Source organism: Homo sapiens, chromosome 8, assembly GCF_000001405.40.
Source record: "Homo sapiens chromosome 8, GRCh38.p14 Primary Assembly".
In the NCBI taxonomy this organism is placed as follows: Eukaryota; Metazoa; Chordata; class Mammalia; order Primates; family Hominidae; genus Homo; species Homo sapiens.
This window is the reverse complement of record NC_000008.11, coordinates 142,643,682-142,669,970: the sequence shown is the minus strand read 5'-3', so window position 1 is coordinate 142,669,970 and position 26,289 is coordinate 142,643,682. Positions and strand designations below refer to the sequence as shown.

General features: G+C 50.2%; 1 protein-coding gene across 10 annotated transcripts, besides 4 other annotated features; it reads left to right on the top strand.

Annotated features, from left to right (window-relative positions):
* Positions 4–26,289, top strand: JRK (Jrk helix-turn-helix protein). Of its 10 annotated transcripts, none has more exons than NM_001279352.2 (4): positions 4–39; positions 3,451–5,493; positions 11,027–11,149; positions 11,891–12,511. In NM_001279352.2, the coding sequence occupies exons 2-3, from the start codon at positions 3,913–3,915 to the stop codon at positions 11,114–11,116; spliced, it is 1,671 nt and encodes a 556-aa protein (NP_001266281.1). In that variant the 5' UTR covers positions 4–39; positions 3,451–3,912; the 3' UTR covers positions 11,117–11,149; positions 11,891–12,511. The 10 variants fall into 10 exon arrangements, with proteins under 10 accessions (NP_001266281.1, XP_047278333.1, XP_011515657.1 ...); XM_047422377.1 differs by adding an exon at positions 2,871–2,926 and having other exon boundaries at positions 11,027–12,511; XM_047422379.1 differs by lacking the exon at positions 4–39 and adding an exon at positions 292–1,755.
* Positions 58–347: a silencer, noted in NCBI's record as "silent region_19602". NCBI's record gives its function as "represses an Ori minimal core promoter by ATAC-STARR-seq in GM12878 lymphoblastoid cells {active_cell/tissue: GM12878}" and the evidence as "EXISTENCE:reporter gene assay evidence [ECO:0000049][PMID:35858748]".
* Positions 2,235–3,091: an enhancer, noted in NCBI's record as "H3K4me1 hESC enhancer chr8:143748299-143749154 (GRCh37/hg19 assembly coordinates)". NCBI's record gives its function as "activates a minimal SCP1, AML or CMV promoter by ChIP-STARR-seq in naive H9 embryonic stem cells {active_cell/tissue: H9 hESC(naive)}" and the evidence as "EXISTENCE:reporter gene assay evidence [ECO:0000049][PMID:30033119]".
* Positions 7,295–7,812: an enhancer, noted in NCBI's record as "H3K4me1 hESC enhancer chr8:143743571-143744089 (GRCh37/hg19 assembly coordinates)". NCBI's record gives its function as "activates a minimal SCP1, AML or CMV promoter by ChIP-STARR-seq in primed H9 embryonic stem cells {active_cell/tissue: H9 hESC(primed)}" and the evidence as "EXISTENCE:reporter gene assay evidence [ECO:0000049][PMID:30033119]".
* Positions 7,813–8,333: an enhancer, noted in NCBI's record as "H3K4me1 hESC enhancer chr8:143743050-143743570 (GRCh37/hg19 assembly coordinates)". NCBI's record gives its function as "activates a minimal SCP1, AML or CMV promoter by ChIP-STARR-seq in naive H9 embryonic stem cells {active_cell/tissue: H9 hESC(naive)}" and the evidence as "EXISTENCE:reporter gene assay evidence [ECO:0000049][PMID:30033119]".

Here is a 26,289-nt window from a genome sequence, read left to right as displayed (position 1 = left end):
GGCACTTCCGGCCGGCGGCGGCTGCTCCGGGTGAGCAGGGTGAGTAGGGTCCTGGCCTGAGGCGCTGGGCGGCCGGGCCGGGCCGGATGGGTGCGGGCGCTCTCCGGTCCCTGGTGGGCGCGGGCGGCGCGGGCGGGAGCCGCAGTCTGGGCAGGCGGGCGCGCGGGGCGGGGCGGGGTTGGTCGCGAGGCTGCGGGGCCGGACCCAGCCGCGGGCGGCAGCGCCCCCTCCCGGGAGCCGCGCTCGGAACCCGAAGCCCTGTGCTTCCCGCGCGACCCCCGCGGCCTGAGCGCGCGGCCCCCGAGCCGCACCCACCCCTTGCCGCCAGGCCTGGCCTTGACGCCCCAGCCCGGACCCTTCCTGCGCTTCCACTCTCAGAGAGGCTTGGTCACGAGGTCCGCTTGCCCTTAAAAAACCAGACCGAGACTTTTTTTTCTCCATTTCTGTTTTTGTTCTTGTTCTTGTCCCAGACTGAATTTCTACCCACAAACGGGGACCCTGGGGTACGGACGCTTTTTAAGCGAGCCTCGCCAGTAGCCCAGCGCTGTCTCTGCGCCAGGATCCCCCAGCGTGGAGGGCTCCTAGCGGAACTCGGCGCCGGCTCTCGGGCGCTCTCTGCGGGGCGCACGGCCCCAGGCTTTCTGTCCCCTCCTTCTCTGTCCCATACTCTCCTTCTGACCCCCAGCTCACCTCTTCCCCCAGCTCCAGAATGCGACTTGTTTTTTGAGTATTTCTCCTTCATATCCTCCATACCCCCCAACACACACACGCACACACACACACACACACACACACACACACACACACTATGCCCCTGCGAAGGTTGTTTCCCGCTTTCCCCCCGCGTTTCTCAGGGCCTCTTAGCCTCACACAGGACGGAGTCAGCCCCAGCGCTGGCCCCTCAGGCCTCCCGTTTCTTGTCTGTGCCTTGGGCACAGGAGAATTGCACGTTTCATCCCGTGTTCACGTGGCCTTGGGGATCAGTGCTTCCTCTCCAGTCGCAAGGCAAGAAACCACCCTAATTTCGGGGAGACAGGGAATCCCACAGTAGCTTGTGAGGGGCTGACTGGGGACTGGGATGCCGGGAAAAGCGTCCTGGAGGAGACTCAGCACCAGACACGGGCTCCTTGTGGACACGTCTCCATGCCTGACGTGCAGGTGTGGCAGGATGACACAAACTGGCAGAACACACTGTTGTCCCACTTGCAAGACCAAAAACTTCCTTTAAAAATAAAATTCAGATATTCCTTATGAAACAAGTTCAGCCACTTTGTGTCATCCTGCTACACCTGCATGTCAGGCATGGAGACGTGTCCGCGAGGAGCTGTGTCTGGTGTTGAGTCTCCTCCAGGAAGCTTTTCTCTGCATCCCAGTCCCCAGTTAGTCCCTCATAAGCTACTGTGGGATTCCGTGTCTCCCCCAGTTTTTCTACAGCGGGTTCATATTAAAAATCTGGAGGGTGGTTTGTGGCCTTGCCTTCCCTCCTGTTCCCCATGGTGAGATGCACATAGCTCACTGTGCTGTGCCAGACCGCACACACGTCACACCGTCACCCTCAGCGAACAATGCAGGATCCTTAAGGGACCAGCCCACATTTTGCAGACCAGGAAACTGACTCCGGAAGAGGACAGTACTCACCCAGAGGTGGCAGCCAACAAGCCTATAATTTTTCTTTGGAGCTTTTGCTGCATTTGATTGCACTCCTCCTTTCCCTTGAGCTCTGGCCTCAAAGGGCTGCGTTTCTGCGCTCCACATGTAAGTAGGCCTTTGGCCACACGCTCTGCATGGAGTTGGCAGAAGCAGCTATGGTAAGGACGCGGGAGGGAGGTGGGAACTCCAGGAGTCCATCCTCAAGTACTGCTGGCCTGCGGAGGAGTGAGGGCAGGGAGACCCCTGCCCATAGCACGCACGCCACACTGAGGCGGCCAGCTGAGCTGCCCGGTGTTTGGGCAAACAGCTTTTCAGCCCTCACCACCCTCAGCAGTGTCTTAACTGGGTGAAGTGCATTGCAGGCCCTGACTCCATAGGCTGCCCTGGCCTCACAGGGGTGCGCCCTCTGTGCCCTGCCAGTCGGCTCGGGTGTAGGGAGGGTTGTGGGGTGTTTCGCAGAGTTGTTATGAGAGGGTGAAATTGTCCACCTAGAAGGGATGAGAATGACCCGCATTGTCTTTATATAGGAGAAGGGTGAGAAGTTAGTTCAAAACTCCAACAGAAAGATGTGTTTGGTTAGAGCTGTGACATTTCTATGTCATTTTTCTTCCTATTGGTCAAAGGTGTGTGTGAAACTTAAAAGCAAGCTTTTCGTAGGGTGCACAGCTGGCCCAGGAAGAACCCTTGCTCCCAGGGGGCTATCAGGTTTCCTGGCATTTGCTTCTGGCGTAAATTAGTCATTTGTTCATAGAGCCTCCCAAATTAGCAAATGCTAAAGAAGTTCCTGCTCTGGGCTAGCTTGTTCCTGTGTCCTCTGAGCGTGTATGTGTGAGTGAGGTTGGGTGGCTGTGTGTGTGTGTGTGTGTGTGTGTGTGTGTGTGTGTGTGTCTCCGTGTCCGTCCATGTCTGGCAGGCTCTGCGGCCCTGCCGTGGTTGTGGAGCCAGGTGGGCGGGCAGCACTAGAGCCTGGGGTTTCAGAGACCAGCGGCTCAGTGTGGCTGCCTGGGGCAGGGTACCCTGAGCTGAGCTTGAGGGGTCCCCTCTGGAAGAGGCCTGGAATGGTCACAGCTGTCTGTCTGCTGCGGCTCCTTGTAGACGCATCTGAGTGTGTGGCAGTCAGGGAGGTCAGAGGGTGATTGAGAAACTGGCAGCACCTCCTAGCCCTTGGAGGAGCTTGAGGCCTGCTGTTCTAGAGAAACTTCTAATGCCTTGTTTTCTAGAGGCAGTTTGGCGCTCTGTGTCGGAGAGAGGAGTTTAGAGACCTGCTCCAGATGGGGTTTGTAAGATCTTTGGCGGGGAGGGTAGTGAGGAGTTCCTCCTCCCTGCATCCCTCCACCCCTGCCTCTGCTCCTCAGGGAGGAATAAGGGATTTGAGAAGCTCAGGTAGCCCAGCGAGCAGTTACAGCAAGAAGCTTAGGCTGGGCGGGTGGGAGGTTTGTTCTTGGGTCCGCCCAGCATCGGACTTCCTGGCTTCCTCTGATGGCTTCTGCCTGAGCGCTTCCCCAGGAAAGGCCGGGCTGCTCCTATGAGAGCCACGTCTCGTTTCCAGCCCTAGCGAATGGCTTCAGTTTGCTTGGTGGGAGTTGGGCAGAGTCCACCTGAGCAGCACGTGCAGGGGCTGGGCAGGCTGGGCTGCTCCCGGGGCCACCCTCTCCCCACAGTGCATGCCAGCACTTGCATGGGTCCTCTCAACAGCCCTTGAGTTTCAGCTGGAGTGTCCCGGTGAGGAGAGTCGTGAGGACGCCATGTGTGTCCTGGGCGCGCCCCATCACTTTCCTCTCTGTTCCCTCTGCTTTCCAGCCCCTGAAGTGCTGTGCCTGGAGATACCATTGTGGACCCTGGAGAGGCACCTGCTGCTTATGCGGTAAAACCTCTACCACCCCAAACCTGGTCAGTTTGAGGGGAGCCGCTGCCATAGTATCCACAGAGAAGGCCGGAGTTCCAGCCGTGTGGAGCAGCAGAGGGGAGTCTGACAGGGTCACCTCCTCCACAGAGAGAATTGGCAGCTGACTGCACTGCCAGGAGCCAAGGCCTAGGTGTGTGGAGCCTGGAAGACCAGGGATACCTGAGGCAGGAGGTGCAGCGTGTGGAGTGAGAAACCCGAGAGGGACTGGGGCCTGTGCTCAGGATCAGCAGAGCAGGCAGGCAGAGTGGAGAGGGAGAGACGGAGCCCCAGAAGGGGAGCAGGAGGAGAGGGAAGTAGTGGCAGCAGCCCAGGCCAGGCGTGTGTCCTGCAAGTGCTAGGACCAGCCACCCCTCCCCATGGCCTCCAAGCCGGCTGCCGGGAAGAGCAGAGGGGAGAAGCGGAAGAGGGTGGTGCTGACACTGAAGGAGAAGATTGACATCTGCACGCGCCTGGAGAAGGGCGAGAGCCGGAAGGCACTGATGCAGGAGTACAATGTGGGCATGTCCACCCTCTACGACATCAGGGCCCACAAGGCGCAGCTGCTCCGGTTCTTCGCCAGCTCCGACTCCAACAAGGCGCTGGAGCAGCGGCGCACGCTGCACACGCCCAAGCTGGAGCACCTGGACCGCGTCCTGTACGAGTGGTTCCTGGGGAAGCGCTCCGAGGGCGTCCCCGTGTCAGGCCCCATGCTCATCGAGAAGGCCAAGGACTTCTACGAGCAGATGCAGCTCACTGAGCCCTGCGTGTTCTCCGGAGGGTGGCTTTGGCGCTTTAAGGCCAGACACGGCATTAAAAAGCTAGATGCATCCAGTGAAAAGCAGTCAGCCGACCACCAGGCCGCGGAGCAGTTCTGTGCGTTTTTCAGGAGCTTGGCTGCTGAGCACGGGCTGTCCGCCGAGCAGGTTTACAACGCTGATGAGACCGGCCTTTTCTGGCGGTGCCTGCCAAATCCCACTCCGGAAGGCGGGGCTGTGCCTGGCCCCAAGCAGGGCAAGGACCGGCTGACCGTGCTGATGTGTGCCAACGCCACGGGCTCCCACAGGCTCAAGCCCTTGGCCATCGGGAAGTGCAGCGGTCCCAGGGCTTTCAAAGGCATCCAGCACCTGCCCGTCGCCTATAAGGCCCAGGGGAACGCCTGGGTGGACAAGGAGATTTTTTCCGATTGGTTCCATCATATCTTTGTGCCCTCGGTGAGAGAGCACTTCAGAACCATAGGTTTGCCGGAAGACAGCAAAGCCGTTCTCTTGCTGGACAGCTCCCGGGCTCACCCGCAGGAGGCCGAGCTGGTGTCCAGTAACGTTTTCACCATCTTCCTGCCTGCCAGCGTGGCCTCATTGGTGCAGCCCATGGAGCAGGGCATTCGGAGAGATTTCATGAGGAACTTCATTAACCCTCCGGTCCCCCTGCAGGGCCCCCACGCCCGCTACAACATGAACGATGCCATATTCAGCGTGGCCTGTGCCTGGAACGCAGTCCCTAGCCACGTCTTCAGGCGGGCCTGGAGGAAGCTGTGGCCGTCGGTTGCGTTTGCCGAAGGCTCCTCCTCTGAGGAGGAGTTGGAGGCAGAGTGCTTCCCAGTGAAGCCCCACAACAAGTCCTTTGCACACATCCTGGAGCTTGTGAAGGAAGGCTCCTCCTGCCCGGGCCAGCTTCGCCAGCGCCAGGCCGCCAGCTGGGGGGTAGCGGGAAGGGAGGCAGAAGGGGGACGGCCCCCTGCTGCCACGTCGCCAGCAGAGGTTGTGTGGAGTTCAGAAAAGACTCCGAAAGCTGACCAGGACGGCAGAGGAGATCCTGGTGAGGGCGAGGAGGTGGCCTGGGAGCAGGCGGCCGTGGCCTTTGACGCAGTCCTGCGCTTTGCGGAGCGGCAGCCATGCTTCAGTGCGCAGGAAGTGGGGCAGCTGCGGGCGCTGCGTGCCGTGTTCCGGAGCCAGCAGCAGGTGAGGAGGCGGCGTGGTGCCCTCGGGGCTGTGGTCAAGGTTGAAGCCCTCCAGGAGGGCCCTGGTGGCTGTGGGGCCACAGCTCAGTCTCCCTTGCCCTGCTCATCCACAGCAGGTGACAACTGATGGCTTCTCTGCCCTGCCCTGGCCACTGGCCCTGTTTCTCCCCACACCCTGGAGTGGCATGGTCCTGTGCCCCGACCCCACCTGAGGCAGGAGGGCATGTGCAGACACTCAAGAGCCCTTCCAGGAGTGGGTCGCCCACGGGTGTGGCTCGGGTGCCCAGGACGGTCTGTGCCCGAGGTTCCTGTCAATACAGGTTTTATTTTATCACTTGCCGTGTCATCCGAAAGTGAGGAAATGTTTTGGAAGGGTCCACCCTAGCCTAGAACAAGCCAGAGCCGCACCCTGGCTGGAATGGGGGCCAGGCTGAGCCGATCTGGTCTCGTGTTCGCTGGCTGATCATTGCAGTATCAGAGGGTGGAGATGTCAGTCTGTCCACGTGGAGAGAAGTTGCCCTCCAGGCCGACAGGAGGCCATGCCCACCGCCCCTGGACAGGCTTCGTCTCAGAAGGCTCTATCTGCTGGGCTGGCGGCCATCCCCGTGTTGGGTGGACCCCGAGCACGGTTGCCTGAGGTCCGATGGCCCGAGAGCTGGGACTCAGTTCTTGGCCTGCTAGCGGCTGAACAGGCCGCACATCTCACTTCAGTTGTGGCCTCATTCAGCAGAATGACTCTGGAACCATCCTCTGTTACCCGCAGATCCTGTCCCATGGGCTCTGGCCCCAAGATGTTGGGGGGCCCCACGGAGAGTTGACTTGGTAGAGTTCCTTTCTGGGAAGAAAGTAGGAGTGGCTGACCAGGCCCTGCTCATCACCCGGATAGAGGACACGGACCCTGTGTGGTATTTTGGCATTTTGGCTCAGAGTCCAATGTACCATGTTGCCCAGAATTTCATACTTATGGCCTTTACATGAATACGTCTTGATCAGACATTCAGAGATTAGTCTTAGGTTTGCACGTAAGTCACTGAAAACAGTAAAACAGGCTGCTTAGATTTCTAGCAGTATGTGTGCTCTTATCCCCAGCTGTTAGCACGTTAGTAATACTTTTGGGGAGGAGTTGTCTGTCCTGGTCAGTTTTCACAGAGGCGGTTGTAAGAGGATGTGGTTATTTTCTCCATGTCTGTAGTTGCTTTGCGGCATCTCCATTTCACGGGCAACACTCACTGCCTGCAGCTGAGATTCCAGAACGCCCTGTGTCCACAGTGATTAGCCTCGTCTTTCAGCGAGCATAAAATAGGTGCATTGTCCTTTTCTTTTCTTGAGGCAGGGTCTCACTCTGTTGACCAGGCTGGAGTGAAGTGGTGTGATCCCAGCTCACTGCAGCCTCGACCTCCCTGGCTTGAGTGATCCTCCCGCCCCAGCCTCCTGAGTAGCTGGGACTAGAGGCACGCACCACCGCGCCTTTTTATTTTTTTTGTAGAGACAGGGTCTCACTGTGTTGCCCAGGCTGGTCTTGAACTCTTGGCCTCAAGCGATCCTCCTTCCTCATCCTTCTAAAGTGCTGGGATTACAGGTGTGAGCCACAGCACTCGGCCTAAATAGGTTTTTCTTGCTATGTTATTTTCAGTGCTTTGCCCTTGAATTCTTTTCCTCTCTTAAATTCATATCATTTGGCCGAGTCAGCACGTAGTTTGCATTCCAGCGTCTGCTGTTGATTCCACTGAAACCTCTGTTCTCATGAAGGAGAGGATTTGGCTCGCTGTGGTTTCTCGTACTTTCACATCTCTGTAGATACAGGGGCAAAAGTCATTGCTGACAGAGCCCTATCTATGTCCTGGAAGTGTGTGTTTCTTGCTTTGAATGCATGTGTGAAGATTATAAAAGCCAAATAGTTTTTAAAGATCTCGGTGCTGAACGACAGTCCCAGTTCCCATTTGTGTCCCATTGTCTTTGTGGTGTCACCCGCACTGTTTGCTTCATTGTCTGGGGAACTTCTGCACATCATGTACTTTGTGCCATTTCTGGGCTCACGTGTCACTCCTAATAGAGCCTCTTAACCAAGACTGCTGGATTGCAGCTGCTTGAGGCAACACAGGAGGTTAGAACATGTCCCGAGGGCTCTGAAACAGTAGGACATCCTGGGTGGGTGGAGCTGGGGAGGGCATGGGCAGGCCAGCTGGCCGAGCTCCTGGCTGGCTCTCCTGAGTCCTCTGGACATGGCTTGTCCCTGTCAGACTGTAGCTCTTCAGGACCTGAGCTCTTCCCGTTCTTGATCTGCTCTTGTGCTGACTGTGCTGGGCTGATGGGTAGGCGCTTGTCCCCAGTGAGTGGCTGTGTCCTCAGGGTGCCCCTCTTCCAGACCAACTGCAGCAAGGCCTGGAGCCTGACTCTAGGTGCAGCCCTTGTGGCTGGAATCCCTTGTGCCACCCAGGGGACTCGGGCCCTGCTCCTCCTGCAGCCCCTCCTCACCTGGGCTCGCTGCTGGAGTGAGGTTTTTAGGGAGCCCAGAGCGTACTCATCTCTGAGCTGCTGGGCCCAGCTGCCTGGTGCATACCTCTTGCCTCGGTCCTGTCCCCCAGAACGCTTTATGGAGACTGCCGTGTCCTCCGAGCACTTTGTTTTCACTTCCTGACCCGTCTCAGAAGCTCAAGTGGTTGAATGTTTTAGCCTCAGAATCTTTTTCCCCAAGCCCTCTCAGGTGGAGCCCCGCTGTACCAGACACCACAGCACAGCTCTGTGAGGCTGTGTCTCTTCACTCTGTTTCTGGGGCTGCTGAGGCCCCTGGGAAGCCCTGGAGCTTGCCAGAGCAGAGCGAGAAAGTCTCTGGTCCTGTTTAAATGCCTCCGCGTTTTATCTGTGAGCACCAGGCTGGAGCCACTCCCTGTCTTCTCACAGTGCCCCTGCAAGTTGCAGCCTCAGTTTTCCAGTGGCTCGTGGGGTAGCAGGTGCTGCGTCATATGGTTTGGGACCTCTGTGGCTGCTTCCAGCCTGCTAATAGAACCTCTTTCCACCACTGCCTTCATCTTTGGGGTGGCACCCCTGAGTGCTCAGGCCTGAGGGCGCTCCTGTGTCCTCACTCGGGACAGGCAGCCTCCACTCTGGGAGCTCCCATCCCTCGGGATGCCCAGGAGAGGCCATACTTTCAGGGTGGCATGGTGAATTCAGGGGTTAGGATGGGTAGGTGGTCTTTCAGCCCCTTCTACGTTGGGGTTGGTTTACAGAACACCTGTCCTGCCTGTGCCAGCCTGGCCTTCTGCGAGCACCCCAGGCACGCTGTCCTGGAAGTTGTCTGTCTCCTGCATAGGAGGGTCTAGAGCAGACCTTGCCCTGGGCCTGTCTGTGCGTGACTTCCATATGCTTCATTCGTGCTCAGCCATGGCTGAGCATGCGATGGAGAGCACCTGGACTGCCCCTGACGTCGCAGGCCACTGTTCTTATCCAGTGGGCCAAGTGATTGATTGCTAGTGGTGGAGTTGATTGGAAGAAAGGAAGTCGCAGCCCCTGCCCACGGCTTCCCCAGCTCGCTGGGGTTGGAGGACTGTCATCAGTTGTCCCCAGTTAAAGTCCATTTGGAGGAGGTTCAGGGTCCCAGTGGCTGGATGTGCTTGTGGAGGGACACGGTTTGAGGCAGGGGTTTGCAGAAGGTGTAGACTGCATCCATTCTTGGGAGGCTGTGGCACAGGGCAGCGACAACTTGGGACAAATCAAGACCCGTCCACACTGCACCTCAGGGACCTCACCTCACGCCCCACATAAATGTGCTTATTGGGGATCCGGGTGTGGTGGCTTCTGCCTGAAATCCCAGTACTCTGGAAGGCCACGGCAGGAGGATCACTTTAGTTCAGGAGTTTGAAACCAGCCTGGGCAACATAGGGAGACCCCATCTCTACAGAAAGTAAAAGAAAATGAGCCAGGTGTGGTGGCATGTGCCTGTAACCCCAGCTACTCAGGAGGCCGAGGCGGGAGGATCCCCAAGCCCAGGAGTTTGAGGCTGCAGTGAGTTATGGCCTCTGCACTCCAGCCTGGGTGACAGAGTGAGAGACCTAATCTCTAAAAACAAAAAATAACAAAATGTGCTTTGGGGTCAGGTGTGGAGATCAGGGTCGGGGAGGTCATGAGGTAGGTAGGGGTCAGGATGTGGACAGTCATGGGCTGGTGGGTGTGGCAGCCGTGAGGGGTGGGTGGTGGCCTGGGAGGCAGGGCCTGGGCAGGGCTTCTGCACTTCTGCTGCTTACCCAGCCCCCTCTGGGTTCGAGGACTCTCCTTGACAAGGGCTGAGCTCTCGGGCACTGCGTTGGACTCAGCTGCCTACTGGGAGGCTGGGGAGAATGGACCTGTGAGACCTTGTTTGTCCTCTTCCCTGCCCAGCTCTTGTAGACCCCAGGCCTGGCTGTCCGCAGGGCCAGGAGCTGCAGCCATGGCAGCCACCAGCCTCCCACATGAGCCCCAGCTCCCAGCCCCACACGCCCACTCCTTTGCCCATGTGGTGTCAGCTCTGGCCTCTGCTTCTACACATGGACCCTCAGACCTTGCACATCTGTTGTTTCCCTTGCAGGGCAGTGATGATGACATGAAATGAGGTGGGGTCACTCCTGTTTAGGGATGAGACTGGGGCCCAGGGAGGGGCAGGTGTGAAGTTGCTGAGGGCAGAGGGAGACCCAGGGCTACCTGCTCCTAATGACCAGCCTCACGTTCTCCACTGCTCACTCCCTGCTGTTCACCAGCTGCATGACCTTGAGCAGTGCACTCAACTGTAAACAGAGGTGAAAACACTCCTTTACCAACTGTTTTAGGGGCCACTCTTGTTTGAGGCCTTGAACCTCCTTTCAGTTCCGTGGTGGTCCTGAGCCTCTGAATCTGGGTATGGCCCCTGCTGGGTCCTGGTCTCTTAGGCAGCACGATGGCCTCCCTGCTCAAGGCCCTGCACCCAGGGGCAGATTGTGGGAGGCCCACTGGCCATGGCTGGGCCCTATCGCAGAGAGCCTGTCAGCACGGCCATTTCCACACCCAGGCTGGCTGGGAAGCAAGCTACGAGGTGCTCAAAGGCCCTCTATGTCTGCAGGTAGCCCCGTCCCACACAGGCGAGGATCGTTGGGCCTCCTTAGTAGCCAAAGGAACTGAGGTCCAGAGCAGGGAATGTGTTGCCCAGTGTCAGCATGGTCTGCTCTGGGGTCAGGCGTCTTGCCCTGGTCCTAAGCCACCCCAAGCCAAGGCATGTCCCTGGGCCCATTTCCTCTCTCGAGGTCTTGGGTTCCCTATTTCTGATGTGTGTGAAAGGAAGGCCTGTCCTCTGGGGTGACCATGAGGCTCAGTGGGAGGAGCTGCCAGGCTTGAGCTGGGACTTGGCACCTGGCCAGCCTTTTTTCTATTTCATTGTACCTTGATGGGCTGTCAGTTCTGAAGAGAAAAAATACACTAGGAATCCATTCTTCCTCCACCATTCTCCCTGGCAGAGGGAAGTGACTACACCCCTATGGTGTGGACATACTGACGCTCCTCCATGAAGCAGCAAAGTTCTGTTGTTTCAGGAGACTGTGGGCCTTGAGGATGTGGTAGTGACCTCACCAGAGGAGTTGGCAATTCCTAAGTGCTGCCTGGAGGCCTCTACAGAGACATAATGTTGGAGAACTTCTGCCACATGGCAGTGCTGGGTAAGACCCCTCTGTCCCCACCAGTGCCCTTGAGGTTATGGGTGTTGGTAGGTCTGTGGCCTCCATCTCCATGACGATGGTGTTAAGGACTGCATGTTTGTGTCCCCCCCCAAAGTTTATATGTTGAAACCCTGACCCCCAGGAGGGTGGTATTAGGAGGTGGGGCCTTTGGGAGGTGACTAGGCTTAGGTGAGATCGTGAGGGTGGGGCTCGCCGATGAGATCGAGTCCTTATAAGAAAAGGAAGGAACTAGAGCGAGGTCACTTTGTGCTGTGTGAGCATACAAGAAAACTGCCATCTTCAAGCTGGGTGCAGTGGCTCACGCCTGTAATCCCAGCACTGGAAGGCCAAGGCATTAGGATTGCATGAGTCCAGGAGTTCGAGACCAGCCTAGGCATGATAAGACCTTATTGCTAAAAAAAAAAAAAAAGGAAATAAAATAGAAAATTGCCATCTGCAAATGAGAAAGCCTTCAGCCGACACCAGACTGCCAGTGCCTTTGATATTGGACTTTCAGTCCCCAGATCTGTGAAAAATTAATTTATGTTGTTTAAGACACCTAGCCTGTGGTATTTTGTTATCGCAATCAAAACTGACTGAGACAGGCAGTAAGGAGAGAACAGAGGTTCCAGCCTGCTTCAGGTCCAGGCAGTTCTGCCATTGCCCCTAACTCCTCAGTGCCAGTCATGGGCCAGGCCCCTGGGGGACTTGGAATGAGTAAAACATGCACCTATTGTTAAGGTTCACCTGGTCCAGAAGGGGAGGCAGACCCACCTGCCCACCATGACCCGGACAGAGGCAATAAATACGGAGCACCTCATGGCCAGGGCCTGGAGGATTCCCACCATACCCTACCCAGCGCCAATAACAGAGGGACCCTGGAGTTGTGTACGCAAGATAGCAGTTCAGTGCTTGCACACATACTAGTTGAGAAGGGAAATCAGGGCTAATGAAACAGCTCAACTGTCTGGCAGAGCCAGGCTCCTTCTGCCATGATACAGTTTGGATGTTTGTCCCTTTCTAATCTTATATGGAAATTTGATCCCCAGTGTTGAAGGTGGGGCCTGGTGGGAAATGTTCCTGTTATCGGGATGGATCCTTCATGAATAGCCTGGTGCCATCTTTGTGGTAACAAGTGAGTTCTCACTTGATTAGTTTCTGTGAGAACTGTTTGTTAAAAAGAGCCTGGTGGCACCTCCCTCCCTTCTTCCTCCTGCTCTTGCTATGTGATGCTGCTGCCCTTTGCCTTCCGTCATGAGTGGAAGCTCCCTGAAGCCCCCACCAGAAGCAAATGCTGGCACCATGCTGCTTGTACAGCCTGCAGAACTGTGAGCCAAATAAACCTCTTTTCTTTATAAATTACTCAGCCTCAGGTGTTACTTTATAACCATGCAAACAGACCAAGACATGCCATGTGTATTTCATGAAGGGAGCCACAGGGTTGAAGATGTTACAGGACACCTGCTCTAATCCCCACCACTGTGTCTGCCTCCCCACCACTGTGTCTGCCTCCAGAAAGCACACCACTTCTGCTCCTGTCCCTCGAGCCAGGTCCCAGTCATATGAGTACAACTAGTTACAAGGGGTCTGGGTAGCATGATTGTAGAGGATGGGTGAGTGAGTATAGGACTCATCTAGCAGTGCAAGTCAGCCCAGGCCTTGTGCCTTCATGCCCTCTCCAGCAATTATGTCTGAGCTCCTCCAGTTTCTGTAAGGAGAGAGCAGAGTTTCCAGCCTGCTTCAGGTCCGTGAAGTTCTGTGTGCTGCGCGGATGTGGCAGTGACTTCACTAGAGGAGTTGGCAATTCCTAAGCCCTCCCCAGAGGCTTCCACAGAGACATAATGTTGGAGAACTTCTGCCTCATGGCAGTGCTGGGCACAAGATAGATTTATGAGGTGAGCTGTGGGTGTGAGGGATGGAGGCAGGCAACAACTCTTAGTGGGCTTCACCTGTAGAGTGGGGAGTCTACACTGAGAGGCAAGCCCAGAACACCTGGTATTGCTGATTCCCCTCCCACCAAACGCTCAGCTCCCAAAGTTGGGGAGATACAGCGTTGTCCCCACCCCAAACGGCAGAGCCACTGGAGAAGCAGGCCATAGAACAGAGAGCTCCACATTCCTCCCCACAGGAACTGACTTCATTTGTAAGGATGTGAAGTTCAAGCCTAAGGGTGCTCTCAAAAACAGTGGAAGTGATGGAGAAAGGCAACTGTGGTAAATCAGTAGATTTATTGGAGATATATGCCAAAAATATAGTCTGGCTGGTAAAAGTATCACAAACACTAACTTCAGGAACTATCCCTTCAAAGGAGCCCAAATTTGATTGGATTAACCTGTGAAGCAGTTTAAACAGAACAATCAGCTGATCATTAGTGGAGCTTAACAGCTGGATGTGGTCAGGGAAAACAACAAAGAGCTTTGCAACACTTTCAAACCACTGTCATCCAGGGTGACTGAGGGCATAACCTAGGCTGTGCTCCTGAGGAGAAAAACTGAGATGCAGTCAGAGGCTCTGGGATGTGGGGTGGGAAATGGATGCCACTAAAATAGTCTAGCTGGTCACTAAGCAAAGAAAGTAGGAAAATAGTCTGAGATTGGGTTGGCTAGTATCCAGAATTGCTACAATAGGTTACCTAAGATGTCCACTCTTCAACAGATAATTATGAGGCATGCAAAGAAACAGGAAAGTATGGCCTATACACTGGGGAAAAAGGCAGGTAATAGAAACTACCTATGTAGAGTAAGATGCTGGATTTAAAAGAAAAAGGTTTCAAAGTGGCCATCATAAATATGGTCTGAGAACTAAAGGACATGATTGAAGAACTAAAGGTGGTAAAACTAAAGGAAGGGGTGAGCCAATATTGCCTCAAATGGAGATTAAGAAGGTAGAATTAGCGCAGATCCACAGTAGATTCTGATAAAATGTAAATGGTGATCCCTAGAACAACCACTAAAGAAATAATTTAGAAAATAGAGTGAAAAAATCATTAAATTAAAACGCTACATTGGAAAATACCCAGTGTAAAAGCAGCAAAGGAGGAAGAGAGGACCCAAGAAGACAGGAGGCAGAACGCGCTTAGTGGGACCTGTGCTGTCCACATTCTGTGGCACTTATCTAATCTTCCTGACACCTGGCTGGTCACTAGTGCCATCCCCATTGTACAGATGAGCAGTTGAGGCTCAGGAGCAGCAGGGATGGTCAGGGACACAGTTTGGAGTCCGGAGCCGTTTTACTCCACAGCCTGGGATCTCACTGCATCCCTTCCCCTGCCTGTTGCCTGTGATTCCCCGCTTTTCTTGGCCTCTGGAGACATCTGCCTTGGCTGTGTCTGCCAGCCTCCTGCTGTGCTGAGGTGGATGTGCCTAGGGTGCTGCTGTGTCCTGCTTTCCCTGGGCAGTCCTGGTGGCACCTGTTGTCCTGGAACAATTGCTAATAACACCCCTTTCACTCTCAAGAATGTCTGATTCGTGTGGGGCCACTCTGCAGGGCCCAACCTTCACACAGTGCCTAACACATGGTGTCTGTGGGGTGTCAGCTCTTCAGGGGCCCCAGGCCAGCGGTCACAGCAAGGTCACCACTAGAGGACATTGAATGGTGCCACCTCTGAAGTCAGTGCTGGTCCCCAGGGTCTCTGTGTGGGCAGTAACCTGGAGCAGCCCTTGCTGGGGAAGGAGAACTGGCACTACTAGGACCCATCTCAAGGGGGCATGCAAAGGCAGAGAGGGATCCAGCCTGGGGGTGGTCACCTGAGGGCAGCCCCCATGGTTCCAGCTGTGGCTCAAGAAGCCCTTGAAGCCGCCATAGGAGGCTGAGCAGGGGAGGCCTCCTCAAAGCCACCTTGGGGCAGGCAGAGCCTCAGAAGGGACCCCGAGGCTGGCAGGGCAAGGAGCTTCCGCAGCTGACCTCCAGAAGTGCAGCTCTCTGCTGAGAGAGGCACTTAGTTGGGAGGCCTAGGTCTTCTGCTTGCTCTTGGCCTCATCTTCACTGAGGAGGGCCTGGGGCAGCTCAAGGCTCTTGGCTGCAGCAAATCAGCACCCAGGAGGCTGTGCCCCTTGACCCTTGAGCTGGGGAGTGGCTGGGGGCTTGGGCAGGGCGCCTGGGCAGGACAGCATTAAGCAGGTGGCACCTGCACTGGCTGTGCCTGACTCTGGGGTGGGGAGGACTCCAGATGCCCAGTGAGAGCTGAGCCAGCCAGGGAGGTCAGGTGGGCTCTGCCAGCTGAGGAGGGCTGGTGGGAGTCTGTGCTCCTGAGCCCTGGGTACAGCCCTCTTCTTTGAATTGCCTGTTCTGGGGTAGCCCTGGGGGTAGGGTGACAGGATCCCACCAAGACACAGGGACCACATTGGCCTCCAGCCTGGGAGCCTCACAAACATTCCTTGCTCAGCAGAATCAGGCTGGACCCTTAGCAAGGAGTGGCTGGAGTCTGGCTGCAGAGGGAAGACATCAGCAGGGAGGGAGCCAGGGCCTGTCACATCTTTCCTCTGGCCATTGTCCTGGTCTTTGTAAGCCCAGAATCTCCCCTTCCCTGAAGGGAGGCCAGCACCCCAGGAGGGCAGCAGGTGTGCTGTGAGGGTTGGAGTAGTGTGAGAGGTCAGGGTACACTAGAATGGCCATGGACACCATGTGGGGGTGCTCTGGGCTGGGCCACAGAACAGTGTCCTTCCTGCTGCTCCTCCCCTGCAGCTTCCCCCGACCTTGTGGTTTATTTGGTTTGATACCAATCAGCAGACCCTGCAGGGTGGAGGCTCCCAGGCCTCTCAGTCCCACCACTCTCATGTGCCAGTCAGCCCTACTGTAACTGCCCAATGAGTACTTCTTGCCCACTGCCAAGATAGAGCCAGTTTACCAAGACAGGGGAATTGCAGTAGAGAAAGAGTTGAATATACATAGAGCCAGCTAAATGGGAGAGTGGAGTTTTCTTATTACTTAAATCAGCCTCCCCTAAAATTCAGAGGTGAGAATTTTTCAAGGACAGTTTGGTGGGCAGGGCCTAGGGAATGGATGCTGCTGATTGGCTAGGGATGCAATCATAGGGGTGTAGAAAAGGTCCTTGTGCACTGAGTCCACTTTTGGGTGAGAGCTACCAAGGAGCTGCTGGTCTGCTGGTCCCGGTAGAGCCATCTGGTGTCAGGAATGCAAAAGTGTGGCCAGGCACAGTGGCCCACACTTGTAATCCTAGCACTTTGGGAGGCTGAGGCAGGAGGAATGCTTGAGCCCAGGAGCTCGAGACCAGTCTGGGCAACATAGTGAGACCTCTTCTCTACAAAACATTAAAAAAAAAATAGCCAGGAGTGGTGGCACGTCCCTGTGGTCTCAGGTACTTGGGAGGCTGAGGCAGGAAGACTGCTTGAGCCCAGGAGGTCAAGGCCACACTGTGCCATGATTCTGCCACTGCACTCCAGCCTGGGTGACAGAATGAGACCCTGTCTGAAAATACATCTTAAAAGTCCAATCCTAGGTTCTACAATAGTGATGTTATCTGCAGGAGTAATTGGGGAAGTTGAAAATCTTGTAACCTCTGGGACAAGAGTAATTGTTTATCCCTACATCTTAGCAGAATCCAGGCCCCTCTCATCCTCTTAACTTGGTGGCCTTTCATTAGTATTACGAGGGTGGCTTAGTCGTGGGAAGGGCTGTTATCATTTAAATTACAAACTAAATTTCTCCCAAAGTTAGCTTGGCCCACTCCCAGAAGTGATCAAGGGCAGTTTGGAGGTTAAAGGCAAGATGGAGTCAGTTAGGTCAGATCTCTTGCACTTAAAATTTTTGCAGAGGTCTCTTCACCATGGTCTGCCTGCTGATGGATGTGGCCCAAGCCAGGCCTGTGGGGAGCCGCTGCATATCCCTCTGCACCGTGGGGTACCTGGCCAGTCTGGGCCAGTACTGGGGCCTTCACAGAGGGGTGTAAAAAATGAATGAACATCATCAATTTTTGGAACCCTAGAAATGACGTTGAGCCTAGAAGGAAATGTGGCTGTGTGGCATAACCGTGCAGCATGCAGCTGCAGCTTCCACTTCTCCAGCTATAGGTCACCTCTCTTTCTCTTTTTTCTTGTTCTGTAAATTGATTATGTGAAAGGAAAATACACTGGGGCTCCCAAATCACTAAGCTAAAGGGAAAAGTCAAGCTGAGAACTGCTTAGAGCAGTTATTACTTAAATCAGCCTCCCCTAAAATTCAGAGGTGAGGATTTTTCAAGTTCGGTGGGGAGGGGCCTATGGAATGAGCCCCTCCCTGTCTCCTATTCAAAGTCACCCCTCTGCTCATTGAGATAAATGTATATCTGATTCCCTTCTTTGGAGAGGCTAATCAGAAACTCAAAAGAATGCAACCATTTGTCTCTTATCTACCTATGACCTGGAAGCCCCTGCCCCACTTTGAGTTGTCCCGCCTTTCCAGACTGAGCCAATGTTTATCTTACATATGTTGATTGATGTCTCATATCTCCCTAAAATGTAGAAAACCAAACTGTGGTCTGACCACCTTGGGCACATGTCAGGACCTCCTGAGGCTGTGTCATGGGCGTGTGTCCTCAACCTTGGCAAAATAAACTTTCTAAATTAACTGAAACTTGTCTCAGATTTTCTGGGTTCATATTTTGGTAATCACAAAGGGATTCTGAGTGGAGGTGCCTCTGACCTTTGAAAAAATCTCCTATGAGTGCTTAGTACCAGCTTGAGTTATCTTTATGGCTCAAACCAATAGGGCAATTTACTGAGGCCTGGAAGCACCCCCTCCAAAAAATCCCTGATCTCCCAAAATTTGGTTGAGATTTAATGTTTATGCTGTACAACTCCCACCACCCCCCCTTTTTTTGGAGTTTTACTTGTTTCCAACACAAGACAGGCAAGTTTTTTCCTGCTTCTATGATGATGGGAGGCAGGTAACTCCTTTATGGAGTTTGAGCTCACTTCCAACAGGGAAGATGAGGTTTTTTTTCCTGCTTCTAGGATGGTGGAGAGCAGTCTTCAGCCTGAGATCCATCCCTAGGTAAGTAACTGAATTGAGGTTTGTCTTGGCTAAAGTTAAAATTAACAGCCAGCTGGTCTTAATTTCTGCTTACTGTTAGAGCACTCAGTAATGATATAAGTTGTGCAATTGTTTGTTTTGCTTTGCTCTTTGTTGTTTTGTTGTTTGTTTCTGTTTTTGTTGTTTCAGTCTTTTTCCCATTGGGTTTGACCAATTCTATCTGACTTGATCAAATCTGAAGGAAAGTTTCAAATTATGGGGAACAAGGCCTCTGAAGTGGCTAAATTCCCACCAAAAAAAAAAAAAAAAAAAGATTGATTTTTGATTTTCATTACTTAAGGGGCTTTATTTACATAACAAGACCACTTTTTGCTAGCCAGGCCAAACTGAAAGCAATGGCTGTTACCCCACAGTGCAGTTCAATGCCTAGGGTTCTGCCTTCCTTTTTTTTTTTTTTCCAGCATGACAGCTGGGTTTGGTTCCTAAATCAAGTCCTTTCTGGTTTGATACTTGGTACTTCTGAAATAGCAGCAATTTGTCCTAGCTGCAATATGGTAATGAGATTTTAAAACTTTTTTTTTAAAGGAGCTCAATGGTTGAAAGTCAGATAAATTAAAGTTAACATCCAAAATGTGTGTATGTGTTTGTTTTTAAAGGACCTTCATGTTTTTGTTTTTGTTTTTTTCCTCTCTTAGAACCTTGTCTTTTTTTTGAACAAAGGTTTTTTTCTTCTCAGTTGACTCAATTCTAGTTTCTTCATTTACTTCTGCTGTCTCTCCTTTCTCTTGCACCCTCTGCTGCACGGGGGACCTAAAATAGTTTATATTATTTATAAATAGTGTGGAGTTCCTTAAAGAAACTCCTTAAAGAAAATGGAGAAGGTGCTAGACTCCCTTTGGGGGAGAAACCTCTGTTTTTCCTTATGGAACCCCAAGAATTTAAACAGACAAGTTTGTTTCAGTCCTTAAACCACTTAATTTTGTATTGTGTACCTGATTTTTTTAACTAAAATAGTTATTGCAACAGAGACTACCCTTGTTTTTTAAGGAAGACTGTAGTTTAGACACTTAGAAATGTGTTTGTATTAGTCCATTTTCACGCTCCTGATAAAGACATGCCCGAAACTGGGCAATTTACAAAAGAAAGAGGTTTCATGGACTTACAGTTTGGCATCGCTGGGGAGCCCTCATGATGATGGTGGAAGGCAAGGAGGAGCAAGTCACATCTTACATGGATGGCAGCAGGCAAAGAGAGTTTGTGCAGAGAAACTCCCATCTTTAAAACCATCAGATCTCTGCAGACTTATTCACTATCATGAAAACAAGACAGGAAAGACTGACTTTATGATTCAATTACCTCCCACTGGGTTCCTCCAACGACATGTGGGAATTGTGGGAGTTACAATTCAAGGTGAGATTTTGGTAGGACACAGAGCCAAACCATATCATTCCACCCCCGGCCCCTCCCAAATCTCATGTCCTCACATTTTGAAACCAATCATGCCTTTCCAACAGTCTCCCAGAGTCTTAACTCACTTCAGCATTAACTCAAAACTCCACAGTCCAAAGTCTCATCTGAGACAAAGCAAGTCCCTTCTGCCTATGAGCCTGTAAAATCAAAAGCAAGTGAGTTACTTCCTAGATACAATGGGGGTACATGCATTGGGTAAATACAGCCATTTCAAATGGGAGAAATTGGCCAAAACAAAGGGGCCACAGGCCCCATGCAAGTCTGAAATCCAGCAGTGCAGTCAAATCTTAAAGCTCCAAAATGATCTCCTTTGACTCCATGTTTCACATCCAGGTCACACTGGTGCAAGAGGTGGTTTCCTGTGGTCTTGGGCAGCTCCGCCCCTGTGGTTTTACAGGGAACAGCTTTCCTCCTGGCTGCTTTCACAGACTGGTATTGAGTGTCTGTGTCTTTTCCAGGCACACGGTGCAAGCTGTTTGTGGATCTACCATTCTGGGGTTTAGAGGTCAGTGGCCATCTTCTCACAGCTCCACTAGGCAGTGCCCCAGTGGGGACTGTGTGTGGGGGCTCCCACCCCACATTTTCGTTCCACACTGTGCTAGCAGAGGTTCTCCATGAGGGTCCTGCCCCTGCAGCAAACTTCTTCCTGGACATCCAGTCGTTTCCATACACCCTCTGAAACCTAGGTGGAGGTTCCCAAACTTCAATTCTGGACTTCTGTGCACTCACAGGGTCAACAGCATGTGGAAGCTGCCAAGGCTTGGGGCTTGCATCCTCTGAAGCAGTTTACAAAATAAAGAGGTTTAATGGAGTTACAGTTCCACGTAGCTGGGAGTGCCTCACAATCATGGGGGAATGGAACGAGGAGCAAGTCACGTCTTACATGGATAGCAGCAGGCAAAGAGAAAGATAACATGTGCAGGGGAACTTCTCTTCAAAAAACCATCAGGTCTTGTGAGACTTACTTACTCTCAGGAGAAAAGCATGGGAAAGACTTTCCCCCATGATACAATTACCTCCCACTGGGTCCCTCCCACAACACGTGGGAATTCACGATGAGTTTTGGGTGGGGACACAGCCAAACCCTATCATTCTGCCCTTGGCCCCTCCCAAATCTCATGTCCTTACATTTCAAAACCAATCATGCCTTCCTAACAGTCTCCCGCAGTCTTAATTCATTTCAACATTAACTCAAAAGTCAACAGTCCAGTCTCTTCTGAGACAAGGAAAGTTCCTCCCACCTACGAGCCTGTAAAATCAAAAGCAAGTTAGTTACTTCCTAGATACAATGGGGGTACATGCATTGGGTAAATACAGCCATTTCAAATGGGAGAAATTGGCTGAAACAGGCCCTATGCAAGTTTGAAATCCAGCGGGGTGGTCAAATCTTAAAGCTCCAAAATGATCTCCTTTGACTCCATTTCTCACATCCAGGTCATGCTGATGCAAGAGGTGGGTTCCCATGGTCTTGGGCAGCTCCACCCTTGTGGCTTTGCAGGGTACAGCCTCCCTCCCAGCTGCCTTCATGGGCTGGTGTTGAGTGTCTGTGGCTTTTCCAGGTGCACAGTGCAAGCTGTCAGTGGATCTACCATTCTGGGGTCTGGAGGATGGTGGCCCTCTTCTCACAGGTCCACTAGTGGTGATGCCCCAGTAGGGACTCTGCATGGGGGCTCTGACCCCACATTTCCCTTCCACACTGCCCTAGCAGAGGGTCTCCTGAGGGCCCCACCCCTGCAGCAAACTTCTGCCTGGGCATCCAGGCATTTCCATACATCTGAAATGTAGGCAGAGGTTCCCAAACTTCAATTCTTGACTTCTGTGGACTCACAGGCTCAACACCATGTGGAAACTGCCAAGGCTTGGGACTTGCACACTCTGAAGCCATGACCTGAGCTCTATGTTGGCCCCTCTCAGCCATGGCTGGAGTGGCTGGGATGCAGGGCACCAAGTCCCTAGGCTGCACACAGTATGGCAACCCTGGGCCTGGCCCATGAAACCACTTTTTCCCCTAGGCCTTTGGGCATGTGATGGGAGGGGCTGCTGTGAAGACCTCTGACATGCCCTGGAGACATTTTCCCCATTGTCTTGGGGATTAACATTCAGCTCCTTGTTACTTATGCAAATTTCTGCAGCTGGCTTGAATTTCTCCTCAGAAAATGGCATTTTCTTTTCTATCACATTGTCAGGTTGCAAATTTTCCAAACTTTTATGCTCTCTTTCCCTTATAAAACTGAACGCCTTTAACAGCACCCAAGTCACCTCTTGAATGCTTTGCTGCTTAGAAATTTCTTCTGCCAGATATCCTAAATCATCTCTCTCAAGTTCAGAATTCGTCACATCTCCAGGGCAGGGGCAGAATGCCACCAGTCTCTTTGCTAAAATATAACAAGAGTCACTTTACTCCAGTTCCCAACTAGCTCCTCATTTTCATCTGAGACCACCTCAGCCTGGACTTTATTGTCCGTATTACTATCAGCATTTTGGGCAAAGCCATTCAGCAAGTGTCTAGGAAGTTCCAAACTTTCCCACGTTTCCCTGGCTGCTTCTGAGCCCTCCAAACTGTTCCAACCCCTGCCTTTTACGCAGTCCAAAGTTGCTTCCACATTTTCAGGTATCTTTTCAGCAGTGTCCCACTCTACTGGTACCAATTTACTGTATTAGTCCATTTTCATGCTGCTGATAAAGACATACCCCAGACTGGGCAATTTATAAATGGAAGAAGTTTAATGGACTTACAGCTCCACATGGCTGGGGAGGCCTCACAATCATGGTGGGAGACAAGGAGGAGCAAGTCATGTGTGACATGGATGGCATCAGGCAAAGAGAGAGAGCTTGTGCAGGGAAACTCCCATTTTTAAAACCATCAAATCTCATGAGAGTTACTATCACAAGAACAGCATGGGAAAGACGTGCCTCATGATTCAATTACCTCCCACCAGGTTCCTCCCATAACATGTGGGAATTGTGGAAGTTGCAATTCAAGATGAGATTTGGGTGAGGACATAGCCAAACCTATCAAAATTTGGTTGAGATTTAACATTTATTTTGCTGTACAACTTCCGCTGCCTCCCCTTCATTTTTTCTTAATGAGGAAATTTTTTTTCATTAAGAAAAAAAATTTTAAGTGCACTGTAAAAGCATCATATGGTTTAGTCTCATAGTAATTCTCCCTTTGTGGAGACCCAGGATTCAGTGTGGGCTCTGTCTAGAGCTCAGAGATCCAGTTAAGAACGTAGGTAATCTTTAAACAAAAGTTGTCTCCTTACACAATCATATGATAGATTTCTATAAATTTTATGTTTGATTTGGCATGCATCTTTAATCTCCCCTTAGCACCACCAGGCTTTTTCTGCCTATACCTTGAGATGTAAATTCTGCCGTCTGATTTTTCGTCTAAGAGTCATTTCCTTCAATATGCAGACTTAGGGCTATTTAATTGACAACTGCCAGGGTAATAAAACAGGTTATCAAGAGCTTGCAAGTCTAAGATAAAGGAAAAAAAGGAGGTCTTAGGAATCTACAAGATGTACTTCTATTGGTATGACTAATATGACTATTTATGTGTTGTATACACAATGTTTCACTACTGAAAATATATAAAAGAGCTCTGATTAACTGGCTTAAGAAAATAAAAGCACTTGAATCAAATACTTTATCAGGAAAAAAATACTAATCAAACCCTTTTTGAAGTTTATGTAACTTAAGTAAAATCTTTAATAAATAAGCTAGCTTTAAAATTATTGGTAAAGTAATATTAGAAATGTCTTGAGAATTGCCAGCATACATTTTTGTTTGCATTTTTAAAGCAATTTTATACTTCTCCCTGCCAAATACTGTAAGGTGTCAAGATTTGGCATAGGGGTTGCAAAACTATAAACCAAGCCCAAAACAATGATTTTTTGCTTGTGTAATCTTTAATAAGACACTGATATTGATTTAATAAAAACAGCTACATCTTGAATTTAGCAAGATTACCATTAACTTCTAATCTTGTGGTTTTAGGTGGTCTAGTCCACAGCCAGTAGGGTTTGTTATCATCTTTGTTTTAAAGCTAAACTATAAGTTCCTCCCAATGTTAGTTTGACCTACACTCAGGAATGAATAAGGACAGCTTGGAGGTTCAAGGCAAGATGGAGTCAGTTAGGTCAAATCTTTTTCACTGTGTTAGTAATAATTTTGCAGTGGCAGTTCTGTAACTTTAAATGATGACTATTGTAGTTTTCATAAATAATTTAGGTGAACAATTAAAATAATTAGGTAAATGTAATGGGATAAATACTTGTAGGCAAACTCATCTAAAGTTAAATTAAATAATAGATATTTCATTATTTGGGTATTTTCCAATAAATATATTTATAGGAAAACATTCTTTCTAAAAAAAAGTGTGTGCTTTTAAAAAAAGGTGAGCAATTTTTGTCTCATTCAAAGCTTATTTAAAGGTCATATATAAAACAAGGTAAAAGAAACCAGGAAATAGATGTAAAGAAAGTTATAAAAATAAAAGGGTTTTACTTTGGTAAGAAAGCTTAAAGAGAAGTAATTTTATATGAGACAGAATCCTGTATGATCAATTTAGTCCTACAGTAAAATGAGTGGTTGTTTATGAAAGAGGGATATTCAGGTCAACCCAAAAAGTCCAAGCATGTCATGAATGGTCTGTGTAAGTCACAGTAAGAGGATGTATATATATATTTTTTTTTTCTGAGATGGAGTCTTGCTCTGTCACCCAGGCTGGAGTGCAGTGGCGCGATCTTGGCTCACTGCAAGCTCCGCCTCCCGGGTTCATGCCATTTTCCCACCTCAGCCTCCCGAGTAGCTGGGACTACAGGCACCCACCACCATGCCCAGCTAATTTTTTTGTATTTTTAGTAGAGACGGGGTTTCACTGTGTTAACCAGGATGGTCTCGATCTCCTGACCTCGTGATCCGCCCATCTCGGCCTCCCAAAGTGCTAGGATTGCAGGCATGAGCCATCGTGCCCAGCCTAAGAGGGTGTATTTTTTTAAAAACCAAAAACTTTTATGCAATCAAGTTGTTACACTATTATTGTTTTGGTTTGCTTAGAAAAAAATGAGATTAATGTTTTTTAAAATTAAATTTATTACATCCATGTATCTCTCTGTGTGCGCATTTAAAGTACTTGTGACATTGAGTTTCAGGGCTTTGACTCCTGGATCTAAAAAGAACACCAAGTCCTGCTAAATTTTAAACACTGACAGGAACTAAATCTCCATCTTCAGATCCAGTAGAAGATGCCATTCAAAATAAACTGCATTCCTGAGACATAGGGCTAGAAATTAAAGCTATTCAACTCCTCAAGGCCCAGGGACTATCATGAAGAGGTGGGTGTGTGAGATTATAAGGGCTGATTTTGAGAGATAAAATAAGTTCAGTTTCTCTATAAATAAATCATTAATGTCAAAAGTACACTGATGCAAGACCAGCACATGGACCCCTGTGTCAGATTAACAAGGTTTTCTGGAAGCATTAACTAACTCCTTAATAAATTAAGGCTATAAAGTTTATAAAAGGCTTATGAAAATTCTATCTTATGGTCAAGATTAAAATTTTATAAGTTGTTTATAAAATTTTGAAAAACAAATGTAATTGGCTTCCTGTTGTTTTTATTAGGGTTTATTGTTTGGAATATTAAGTTTTCTCTGAAAGAAGGAAGGTTTTCACCTTTTTTGAAATCGAGTTAGCACTTTGGTTAAATGAATGACTTATTGTACAATAACCTGTGATATCAAGTGTTTTAAACCTTTGACATTTGACAAACTTTCCAAAATCAAATTATAAATTATGTCTTTTTCTGACCTAATTAATCCTTTAATATATTAAGTTCCATACAGTCCAAAAATGACATAATTTGTCTTATTTGGTATAAAAATTATATAGGAAGTGTTGTCAAATATGAAATGGTGTTTGGGTTTCTTTGGGCTGTGTTTGTATAAATATGTTATTGGTATGTGTTCCCAAATCATAGGAAACTTCTATAATTCTGATAAGACTTAGTGTACATTATCAGTAATAATTATAATTATTATGTTAAATTATCATGTGCCACAGAGGTAACAAATTTTCTTGTCAATGGTGCTTTTGACTGTGGCTGCCCTAAAACCTTTTGTCATTCACAGACAATTGTTGTCTTATTTTGGTCCTTCTTAGAAGGTGATTTTGTAAAAAAGCTATAAAACTGCAACAGCTGTTCTTGCATACAAGTTTTTAATAGCTTTGGAGATGGTGACATCAGAATAAAAGGAAAACTTTCAGGACCTATGGAGAACTGAAATGTTCAGGAATATCAAGCAGAACAGGAATTAACTACAGCAACTGAACTATTACAAGACTGAAGTAATCATTTTGACTTTTCACTTAAAATGTTGTTAATCATTTGTTTTGCTTTTTCAGAACCAGGGAAACTTTTCTTTTGAGTGATTAACAGCATTTAACAATTTAGTATATTCCTATGAACAAAATTTATAACATATTTCTTTTTCCTCTACCTGATTTCTCCAGAATTTGGAAGCTATTTGTGGCAATACAGTTATTTACATAAGTACAATAAGAATCTCTTTTTATGTATAAGAGGACACACTTGGAGAAACTGGTTACTTTACCAAGGCTTTGACTGGAATGGTGTGCTTTCCTTTAAGGAATCAAACTTGACTTACAGAGCCAATAAAAGCCCCTTGGGAAAA